At 38.7% G+C, this 12,237-nt stretch overlaps 1 long non-coding RNA gene across 2 annotated transcripts in view; it reads left to right on the top strand.

The window, feature by feature from the left end:
- Positions 1-10,908: 10,908 nt before the first annotated feature.
- FIRRE (firre intergenic repeating RNA element) overlaps positions 10,909-12,237 on the top strand; it is a 139,119-nt gene continuing 137,790 nt past the window's right edge. For both annotated transcript variants that reach the window (NR_152876.1, NR_026975.2), the window contains exon 1: positions 10,909-11,260. This is a non-coding gene — a long non-coding RNA (firre intergenic repeating RNA element). The remainder of the gene's footprint in view (positions 11,261-12,237) is intronic.

Raw genomic sequence — 12,237 nt, 5'->3', positions numbered from 1 at the left:
CCAATAGGATGTATGACACACAACGCAGAAACATGTGGGGAGCAGGGGCTCCTAACCCGGGGCTTGGCGAGGCGAGGGGTGGGGAGGTTCTGAGAAAGCAAAACTCCTAGAATCCTCTGTATCAGCAATTCTGCTGCATTTTCCCACAGCTGCCATGATATCCGCAGTGGGTTTTGGGACACACACAATGTAAGGGCCACAGCTGGAAGGTGGGGAAAGGGTGGCCAGAGAGGCCTGCTCCAGTTGCGGGTGGCTCCGGCTGGGGGAACTGCAACCACGGGAAATTCTTGGTGGAGTTTAGGCCGTCTTGGCATGGAGAGGACAGGGGCGGCCCCTTCCCTGAGAGAGCCCTGTTGGGCCCCTCACGTTTTCTCGGCCATCAGGGCCTGGACTGGAGCCCCCGGAGTCTCTTCTGCCAGGCAGCCTGGGCTCCCTCCTAGGCCAGACCGAGCCCTTCATGCTTTCCTTCTCGCCCTCTGGAGTAAGGCCCGGGGACCCTACCTGCTCCCCTCTCCATAGCTGCCACCTCCTACTCCACCCTGTGGGTTCAGCTGTCCCTTCGGAACGTGGCTGCCGAGGGGTCCGCAGCCGGCCCAGCTCCTCCCTTGCCCGGGACCCAAATGGCCGGCCCTGACCCTTCCTGATCATAAAGGCTTCACTGCGCTCCTGCTCTGGCAGGGAGGCATTCAGGGCACACACAGCCGACTGACACATTCAGGGGCCACAAACAGCAAAGACACTTCCAGAGGGTTCACAGTCACCACCACTGGCCTACAGGTTCCTCCCGCCTTTTGACTCAGAGATGCCATGTGTAATCTCTCTATATGTCAGAATAGCAGCCCCCCACTTTGTTCCTGACCCCAATCCATCCTACTATGCACTGCTTATCTGAAGCAATATGTATTCCTTCTCGGCACAACCCTTATCCTCACACTTGCTTCCACCTCTCCTTCCACCCCTAACTTGACCTCTATCCCTGATTCCAACCTAATCCCTTACCCTATGTAAAATCGGTGCTTCCTATTATCAAGGAAATGAAAAACAGACATCTTCAACCCTCACAAAATTCCCAATCCATCCCGTCCCTAACTATGATCCTAACACTCAGAATAATTGCAAAAATCCTGCATTGTGGACACACCTGACCTTCACTAACCCCATCTTCACTTGATCCCTGACTGCTACCAAGACCCCTTTCACCTATAGATCACTCTTTTTCAATGTCCATATGATCGCCAAAGCACACACCTTTGGTTTCATCCTGTCACTAGTCCTGATGCCATCTTTAAGTGTCACCAACTATTAGACACACACACCTGATCCTTTATCCCCTCACCTTACTGTCTTTTAAGAAATCAAGACTGGAAGATACACAGTAGTGAGAAGATGTCCAGGAGGTGCCCCCTTGATTCTGTGGTCTGGGAGGTCCTCCAGAAAGGGTGAACCTTCATGCCCACCCACGCACCCCGGCTCCAACCCCATTTCCTAGGCCTCTGCCTTTCACTGAGGAATGATTTCCACTGGTTTCCTGTAAGGCCATGTCGCAGATACGGTTAGAACTTGTGTCTGGATCTCATTCTACTCTGCTTCTGGGGCCTGGCCTGACATGAAATGCTAATCTGGTCCGGCTTATGTTTATGTCAGTGAAGCCATCCTCATGAAGAGGACGTGCACATTAGACCACAGTGGGGTTTCTAGAACATGTCCTGTCCCTACATAGGAGAAACTATGGGTCAAGGTATCTTTGGTCCTAGATGCAGAGAATAGCAGACTCTTTCTGTAAAAGGCCTGATGGTGAATGATTTAAGCTATGCAAGCCACAGGTGGCCTCGGTCACATAGCCTCCATTTTTTCAAGCAAAGCTTTAAAAATGTAAAAATCACTCTTAGCTTTCAGGCCTTACAAATACAAGTCACTGGCCACATCTGTTCTGTGAGTTAGCTTGCCAACCCCTGGCTAGACATTCATTCTCACCTCTCAAATCCATCAAAGCCCTCCCTCCTCTCCTGGGCTTTCCATAGCACAAGTGCAGGTTTATAATGAATTTCCTCACCATGAGTACCTGAAAAGAGACTATGGAATTGAGTTTTGTGTACACTGTGAGGGAGAAGTAAAGTTTCATTTGCACGCACGGATGCCCAGTAATCCCAAGACCACTCATTGAAAACTCAGTCATTTCCCCCACAGAACTGAAGCGCTGCAGCTGTCATATATCACATGTTTTATTTTAAAAGCTATGGCTTTCTCATCAGTGACTATGGAGGCTACAAGACAGTGTCACGTCCTCTTGAAAGTGCTGATGGGAAAAAAAAAATCAACCCAGAGTTCTCCATCCTTGAAAATATCTTCACAGATGAAGGTGAAATAGATGTTTTCAGACAAAAGACAACTAAGATTCTTTGTCACTGGTAGGCATGCAATAAAATAAATGCTATAGGACATTCTTCAGGTTGAAGAAAACTACATCAGGGGAAAATACAGATCTTCCAGAGCCAGAACATGTTCCAGAGTAAAGAACATCAGAAATGTTCAGTGTCTGAGAATGTACAAAAAAAATTTTCACTTAGTTCCTTTAAAATATACTTGAATGCTTAAAGCAAAAGTTCTAACATCATTTTGCTGTGTTTATAATGTATGTACATAAATTACATATGACAATAATAGTATAAAGGACACCGAGGAATAGTAAAAGTATGTATATTGTTATAAGGATTTTACATTCTGTATGAGGCGGTAAAATATCAACTCTGAGAAGATTATAAAAAGTTAAGGATGCATATTGCAATCGCAAGAATAACCACTAAAAAATAACACAAAGTGGTATAGCCAAAAGGCCAACAGACATATTATAATAGAATTCTAAAAGATAAAGTGTTCTAATACTTGAAAGGAAGGAAAGGGGAAATGGAAGAATACAAATTAATGAGGACAAACAATGTAAACTATAAAATTGTAGCCCAAAATTAAAACCTATCAGTAAATACATTAGCTGTTAATGGTTAAACATTCCACATAAAAGACACAGTTTTTTTGAATAGATACAAAAGCAACACCAATCATACCTTGTCTGTAAGATATGGACTTTAGCAGCTTTAGAAGTGTTTTTGAAGAATCATTCTATGTAAACAATACTGTCATCTGTGAAAGCACTTTTACTTCTTTCTTTCCAAACTGTAATCTTTTTTTCTTTTTTTTTTTTTTTTTTTTTTTTGCCTAATTGCACTTCTTAGAAAATCTGGTATGACGTTGAATAGAAGAGGTGAGAGACGAATTCCTCACGTTGCTCTAGGTCTTAAAAACAGTGTTGACTTTTTCAGTGTTAAGTATGACATTAGTTGTATATTTTTACCATATTGAAGATATATTTTCTTCAATTTCTAGTTTGGTGAGAGTTTTTTAAAATCAGGATTGGTGTTTATGTTTGTCAAATACTTTTTCTACACAATTTCAGATGATTATATGCTTTTTCTTATTAATTTTATAAATGTGAATTAACCTGTTAATTTTTGAAACTTTTAAAAACAGCTTTATTGAGATAGAATTCACACACTATAAATTCCACCAATTTAAAATGTACAATGTGGTGGTTTTCAATATATTCACAGAATTGTGCAATCATTACCATAATCAATTTTAGAATATTTTCATCACTCCAAAAAGAAATATGCCTACTAGCAGTTCTCATTCTCAGCTTCCTCTAGTCCCTGGCAAACACTAATCTACTTTCTGTGTCTATGGATTTGCCTATTCTGGAAACTATATATAATTGTAATCCTACAAGATATGGTCTTTTGTGTCTGGTTTTTTTCACTTAGCATGTTTTGAGGGATTTTTCATGTTGTACAATGTATCAATAATTCATTCTTCAATATGGTTGAATAACAGTCCATTGTATGGATATACCACATTTTTATATATATTCATCAGTTGATGGACATTTAAGTTGTTTCTACTTTTTGTGTGAACATGTTTTCATTTCTCTTGTGTAGATAAATAGGTTTGGAATTGATTAGTCATATGATGATAGAATCTTCAAACTTTTGGGGAACTGCCAGACTACTTCTAAAGTGACTGTACCATGTGATATTTCCACAAGCCATATATGAAGCTTGCAGCTTATGCATATCCTTACTGACACTTGTTATTATCTGTCTTTTTAAAATATAGACAACCTAGGGGCTGTGAAGTAGTACCTCACTGTGTTTTTCATTTGCATTTCTCTAATAGCTAATGAGGTTGACCATCTTTTCACATGCTGTTAGCCATATACATATCTTCTTTGGATAAATATCTATTCAGATCATTTGTCCATTTTTAAAAGAGTTATATTTTTATGACTGAGTGGTAAGAGTTTTTTATATTCTGGATACAAGTCCCTTACCAAATATATGATTGGAAAACATTATCTCCCATTCTGTGAGTTTTTTCTTTCTTTCTTGATGGTATCATTTGTGAAACAACTTTTTTAAAACTTGATGAAATCTGGTTTGTCGAGTTTTTTCTTTGGTTGGCTATGCTTTTGGTATCCCTAAGAAACTAATGTGTAAAACAAAATCATGAGGATTACTCTTATGAAAGACTGTTTTTCTCTACTGTTACACAGAACCATAAACATATACGGATTCTAGAGGGTGAATATGTACTAAGTACAGTTTCTGGAAGGCTTCTAATCAAACACTAGTATAGTTTGTATCTCAAAAATACAAGTTAGAGTCTACAGGTTTTAACTATTTATGTCTTAAAAATTGAAATGTTGAAAACGAGCAAGGGTTGATTCTGAAATTTACAGAAAACCCAAAAAAGGTCCTAGTATACATTTAATAAAGGTACAAGTTATACAATATTGTTTTATTTCAGATTCTATTTTCCATAAGAATAGGCACACTTCTATATATACATTGAAATGATTAATGTCCTACTTTTAATGGTCATGGAAAGAAAAGCTTTTGGCAAATAATTACTTAACATAAAATCCAGTCTTCTTTGGCATGCTTAATGGCATTGTAAGTGGCCTCGCTATAAAAGACCTGAGTAAAGCATAAAAAAGAAAAATAAATTAAAAAGAGAATTCCATATATAGGTCATGTCCATTTAAATTCATACCAAAAAACCCCTGTACACTCCCATGCAAAAGTGTATATAGAAGAAAAGGTGGAATGTACTAGATTGAAATATCAATTGAGTTTGTGTGATTCAGAGTATCCTCTCTTTCCTGTTTTACGATTACTCATTTGTCATTTCTTTGCCAGATGCATCTATTATCCTTAAGAACTTAACAACAAAGCAATCGTATGAGATTAAAAATAAAGTACTATCATGAAGAGATATGCTATTCAGTATCCATTATTCAATGTTGAATGAAGAAACAATGACACAAAACTCCACCTACATTTTAACTAGAATGTAATTGAAGAAAATAAATGGTATATTCCTCCCTGGATGAATGTATGTATGCTCCAAGCATCTTGTCAGCAAATAGGGGAGTTTATTGATGTGCAGTAGGATATATTTATTTAGTTAAATAATGTCAGCTCTCATGAGTGGTTGTACACCTTATTTACAACATTTGAATACATGTACCCATTAAGCTGCTAATAGTGGTTCCCTTGGGATAGATTGATTTGGGATAAAGTATTTCCTTAGGTCTTTCATTGATTCGTGCACTCTATGAAATTTTTCATAATGCTTCTATTATCTTTGTAATTCAATAACAAATCCAGAATAAATATGTGCAGAAGGCTGTGTGCAGTGGCTCACGACTGTAATCCTAGCACTTTGGGAGGCCGAGGTGGGCGGATCACCCGAGATCAGGGGTTTGAGGCCAGCCTGGCCAACATGACAAAACCCTTTCTCTACTAAAAATACAAAAATTAGCCGGACGTGGTGGCACATGCCTGTAATCCCAGCTACTCGGGAGACTGAGGCAGGAGAATCACTTGAACCTGGGAGGCGGAGGTTGCAGTGAGCTGACATCGCGCCATTGCACTCCAGCCTGGGCAACAGAGTGAGACTCTGTCTCAAAAAAAAAAAAAAAAAAAAGTGCAAAAGAAATTATTGGTGAAAACTTGCTGTGTTGAACACATGAGAGAGTCCTAAGGAATCTATATCTCTGAATGTATACAACATATATCTGTGAAATATGGTTGAAAATACAACCATATTTTGCAGGTCCTTGTCCTCTTGAGGTGGCATTACCTATGATTTTGCTATGCTTCTTTAAAAATGGATGTTGTACCTGAACACATTATTTAGAAATACATCTGATTTGTGAAATCCCAAAAGTAAGAGGCTACTCTCTAAAATATAATCAGTATTTCAAAGAATATTTAATGAAGTTTGGAAAGTACTCTAGCTACAATATGTACAGAAAATGTATCTGAACACTGAAGGTACAAAGGAATTTGAATATGATTTTTAATGTTATTATATGTACATAAGAGATGAGAATGACATTTTGTTTATTTATTTATTTATTTATTATTTATTTTTGAGACAGAGTCTTGCTCTGTCACCCAGGCTGGAGTGCAATGGCGCGATCTTGGCGCACTGCAACCTCTGCCTCCCGGGTTCAAGCGATTCTCCTGCCTCAGCCTTCTGAGTAGCTGGGATTACAGGCATGTGCCACCACGTCCAGCTAATTTTTGAATTTTTAGTAGAGACAGGGTTTCACCATGTTGGTGAGGCTGGTCTTCAACTCCTGACCTCATGATCCGCCCGCCTCGGCCTTCCAAATTGCTGGGATTACAGGCGTGAGCCACCATGCCCGGCCTCTTTTATTTATTTTGGAGACAGAGTCCCGCTCTGTCACCCTGGCTGGAGTGCTATGGCACGATCTTGGCTCAGTGAAGTCTCCACCTCCCTGGGCTCAGGTGATCTTCGCACCTCAGTTTCCCAAGTAGCTGGGACTACAGACACACTCCACCTTGCCAGGATAATTTTTGTATTTTTTTGTAGAGACAGGTTTCACCATGTTGCCCAGTCTGGGTGAATGACATTTTAAAAGTCTTTATTCTTGTTGGGATTGAACTATCATTTATTTTTGGCTTCATGATTTCTCAATATCTGAACAGTTTGCCAACAGCAACTATTGCTTTTTAAATTTTCTGGATAATAAGGCTCTTTCCAGGGTAGAATAAAAAGATTTCAAGTTCTCCAAGTACATATATGTATATGGGAACATGGAAATTGTATGAGATAATGATGATGTTTCTGTTCAAAACTACCTTCGGTATTCATTCAATTATGTTTAAAGATAGATAAACTACACATTAGTATACAGTCATGCCCTGTATAATGATCTTTAGGTCAATGACTGACTGCATATATGATGGTTATGTCATACATAATATTATAATATCGTATTTTTATTGTACCTTTTCTATGTTTAGATACACAAATACTTACCATTGTTACTATTGCCTACAGTATTCAGTATAACAACATGCTATACCACTTTGTAGCCTAGGAGCAATGGGCTATATTCTGCAACCTAGGAGTGTAGTAGGCTATACTATCTAGATTTGTGTAAGTACACTATGATGTTTGCACAATGATGAAATCAACTAACAATGCACTTCTCAGAATGTATCCCTGTCATTAAATTAGGCATGACTCCATATCCATCTATATGTGTACTTATGTTTAAAAAGTATATATATTTTTTGAGACGGAGTCTCACTCTGTCTCCAGGGCTAGCGTGCAGTGGTGTGATCTTGGCTCACTGCAACCTCTGCCTCCCAGGTTCAAACGATTCTCCTGCCTCAGCCTCCCTAAAAAGTGTATATTTTTAATTATGATTATTATAGTAACAATGCACTTAAATTTCACTCTCTTTGTCCGTATATTAATGTGTGTTTGTATATGTATGTATATGTGTACATGTGTATATGTATACACATAGAAACTTTGATATTTAGCTTCATATATAATAATAAGTTTACATTCATATGGGATTTATTCATATATCATGATTTGGATAATATTTTCACTTCTATTTCCTTGGCAATTTGTCATTACGAAAAATTTGCAAGACCTAATTTTTAGGAAATAAATAAATTTAAAGGGAAACATTAAGAAAAGATTATAGATGAATATAAAAATATGTCAATGCATTCACCTTGAACCTTTGATGGAGTACGTGTTTGGGTCACAGTCACAGTGCTAAAGAGATGAGGACACAGACTTTATTTATACAGTAATGCAATCTGTTGTTAATTTTTTTTAGTAATAAAATAAGATTAGGCCAGGTGCAGTGGCTCATGCCTATAATCCCAGCACTTTGGGAGGCTGAATTGGGAAGATCGCTTGAGCCTACAAGTTAGAGATCAGTCTGGGTAACATAAGGAGACCCCTTCTCTACAAAAAAATATAAAAAAGAAAAAAATAGCTGGGTGTGGTGGTGTGTGCCTGTGGTCCTAGCTACTCCAGAGGCTGAGGTGGGAGGATTGCTTGAGCCTGGAGGTCAAGGCTACAGTGAGCCATGATTGCATAGACTTGCCAGACCCAGTCTCTAAAAATATAATAATAAATAAATAAAATAAGATGAAATTTTAGATTTAATTGTAGGTTAAAATTTTGAGAAGGAAGGAATATCCTATATTTTCTGATGCACGCATGTTATACTTGTGATTCAATATTTGTTTTAGAGTATACACATGTTAGCATAATAAAGATTAGAAGCTCTTCAAATCATGATACCTGAGAGGAGACATCATAGGAATTAAATTTCCAGTTGTTAAATAAGTGTTTTATGAAGTGAACATGTCTTCAGAGACCATATTGTTATTGAATGTAGCAATCAAGAAGCTCTTGGTTAATGTTTCATTTACTAAAAATTCAGGTCTTGCAAATTTTTCATGATAATGACAAACTGCCCAGGAAACAGAAGTGAAAGTATACTCCAAACCATAACATACAAATAAACCTCATTTTAATGTAAACTTACTATTGTGTATGACACGAAATATAAATGTTTATGTGTATATATTGAAATGAGTGCATGAGTATATGAGTTTGCATGTGTATGTTGAAACTGTGAAAGGAAAATAAATCTCAGGGCCCCAAAATCACTAAGCCAAAGGGAAACGTCAAGCTGGGAACTGCGTCAGGCAAACCTGCCTCCCATTTTATTCCTAAATAAGATGGCTACAATGATTGAACAAAGCAAAAACAAAAAGCTACATATCTCCCTCACAATTTGCCCACTAGGAAATTCCTTGTGAGCCCCAAGATTTTTACCCTGAAACAGTTCTGTTGAATTTCACCCTGACAATGTAAATTTTGGCTTATCCTCACAGGTATGGAACAAAAGACAGAACTCAAAGTCTTCCCTCCGCTCACTTGAGACAAATGCATGTCTGATTGCTTCCTCTGCCCTGTGTTTATTTTATCCTATGTAAAAAATGCAGATTCACTGAGCTAGATGAATGTGTACGTGACTATTCCTCTACCCTCATCTCGCCTATGAAGGGCTGATCAAAGACTCAAAAGAATGCTACCCTTTGCCTCTTATCTACCCACATCTTTTCAAAATTTCTTCCCCTTTCCCCAGTATCTGCCCTTTCCCCTTTAAATATTGAAGCCCTCAAAATCATCTTTGAAGAAAGGCATGGACCTATCTCCCAGGCATGCGTGTACTTAAACTTGCAAAATAAATTTCTGAAACTATTGAGACCTGTCTCAGACACTTTTTAGTTCACAAAACATAATCCAGATGTTTATCAGTATTACTAATAGGTACTGTTTATGACAGTGCTTTACTCTTGGTCAGCACATGGTTCTTTTCTGAATCCTTTGCAAATCCTTTGCAAGCACCATGTCTTAATTACGTAAGATAAAATACCATAAGATTGACCCCTAAGTGATAAGCATATACACACTAAAGTCACAGGAAACCATTGACAGTCATATAAGAACATAGGAACATGCCTGTGTTCCGATTTTAAATTATTTTGACTATGAGACTGTATCAGTCTCCTCTGACTGGAATTTATACATATTTGAGTTTGTGTACCCTTCCAAATGGGCACTGTATAGCACGCAGTCTTGAGAACCATCTAGACACTTAGCTTAGGGTTCCAGACAACTGCTTCTCCCTCAACACACAGGCCTAGTGCCTAGGCCAGAAATTGAGTAGGACTCCCGGGAAACCTGGGAAGTGAGTCAGGCAAGAACAACATGGATTTGCTCTTCTCCAAGCCCTTAGATGCAACCATTTGCTTTTCCCTCTAGGCCTGGATCCCTGAGGTTTGACCCCTGATACACCAAGACAATTTAGTACCATGAGAAAAAGTTAGGTGAAGAAAAAGCAGAACTGTGAAGACTAGGTAAGTGGAAATTGAGTTCTTGAACTGAAAAGACCCCTGATGAGAGTGTAGGTTTAGGCGCCAGTTTGATTTCAGATGAAAAACCAAAAGCAAAATCACAATAGTATGAGCGAGTTTCTCAAGTCAGCCATATTTCCTGGTGCCTTAATCTGTTGGTCACATTTTTTTTTCATACCAGACGGGCGGGAGAAGAGGGCTTGGGGGCAGTATTGGATAGAATTCCAGGAGCAACACTGCCATCGTGAGGAAATTTCTGGAAAAAGCCCCATCCCTTAGAGGGCTTATATTGGAAAGTTCCATTCTGTTAGAGGCTGAGCAGGCTCGGACCATGAGCTGGATCTTAGTTCCACCTCCTGAGGCCTACCTGAAGCTCTGGACAGAGTGAGGTCCAGGTGTAGGAACTGGCCCGTGGGGAGGGAAGACTAAGTCGGCCTCTGGCAGGAAGTCCAGGCCCAGGAAGTTGTAGGGTGGGGTCTTGGTATTCTCCCAGTATGGGCGGGACTGGAGGAAGCCACCAACCAACGAAGTACTGGGCCTGTGGGTATTCGTCTCTCTCCCCGCCCCTGAGAGTCTGGGAAAGGCTGACACGTGGTGCCTTCAGGCTCTGGGGCCTAGGACCTTTGTGGTAGCAGAGTCACTGCAGAGAACCAGACAATACCAGGTTGCTTATAAAAGGATGCCATGTGCTTGCTGGAGGTCCCAGGTGCAACCAAATTGCTTGCAGCTAGGAGGACCTTGAAGAGAAATGGGATCAGCCCGCCAAACCAAGAAGGGTTAGCACTTTTGCTAGGAGAGCTGACCACGCACAAACAGATGAGAACCAAAACCGAGTGAAGAGGATTGAAGATGAACCCACATTTTAAAAGTTCTTGTCTGCTGGAGGTGGCATTACCTGTGACCTCGCTTCACTTCTCCATACATGGCTGTTATAGCAGGTACATTGTAAAGAAGCATGATTATTTCTAGAAATGCAAAAACATGTGGCAAGATTTTAAAACCTGTCATTATTCTAAAGAATACTTAATGAGATTTGAAGAGCATTCAAGTTACAAATGAGGAAAACTTGTTTTAGCATTCAAAGTACAAGAGAATTTGAACATTTTTTAAGTGTATATTATTTGTGCAAAGTGAAGATATAAGAATGTATGGCAAGGATATTTTTAAGTGGCTATTTCTTGTTGTGATTGAAGTACCGTTTACTTTCTACTTATAATTTCTTAAAATCTAAACGGTGCCAACAGTGGGTGTAACTTTTGTAATTTCTTGAAATAGAAAGGTCTTCTAGAGTAAGATACAAAAAAAATCCAAGCACTCAAATATACATTGTCATTCATGTATGCAAATGGTATAAGGTGGTGTTGAAGAATTTGTGCAAAACTGTATCCAGTTTGCATTCAATTGTCTTTAAAGAAAAGGATAGTCCATGCTCCCAGAGGCTGAATAAAAATAAATAAATAAAGAGAAGTAAATATATATATAATAGGTGCAATCATTTTCTTTTCCCTCTAGGCCTGTAACCAGGTAACTTGGACCTATCTATCTAATGCTTATACATATATATGCATTATGCATATCATGCATAATCATGGTCAGTGTTAGAGTGAGTATGCGTTTCAACTTTATAGATTTTACATAAAATTTTAAGATAAAATTTTGGTATAAGTTTTGAAAAATATAAACAAAAGAAACCCTAATGTTCTGAGGCATAAGCACATAGTGCCTGTTCCAATGTTAGCATGTATATATATATATATATATAGTCAGCATACTAATGATTAGGTAAGGCAGGTATCAAAATTAAGATACTTGAGTGGTGGCATTATAGGTATTATGTCCTGTGTATAAATTTTTTAAAAATTGAGAACCTAACATTCTTTAATGAATTAGTCAATCAAGAAGCTCATTGCAAATA

The sequence above is a fragment of the Homo sapiens genome, chromosome X (assembly GCF_000001405.40).
Source record: "Homo sapiens chromosome X, GRCh38.p14 Primary Assembly".
Classification (NCBI taxonomy): Eukaryota; Metazoa; Chordata; class Mammalia; order Primates; family Hominidae; genus Homo; species Homo sapiens.
Note: the sequence above shows the minus strand (reverse complement) of the source record. Positions and strands in the feature narration are given on the sequence as shown.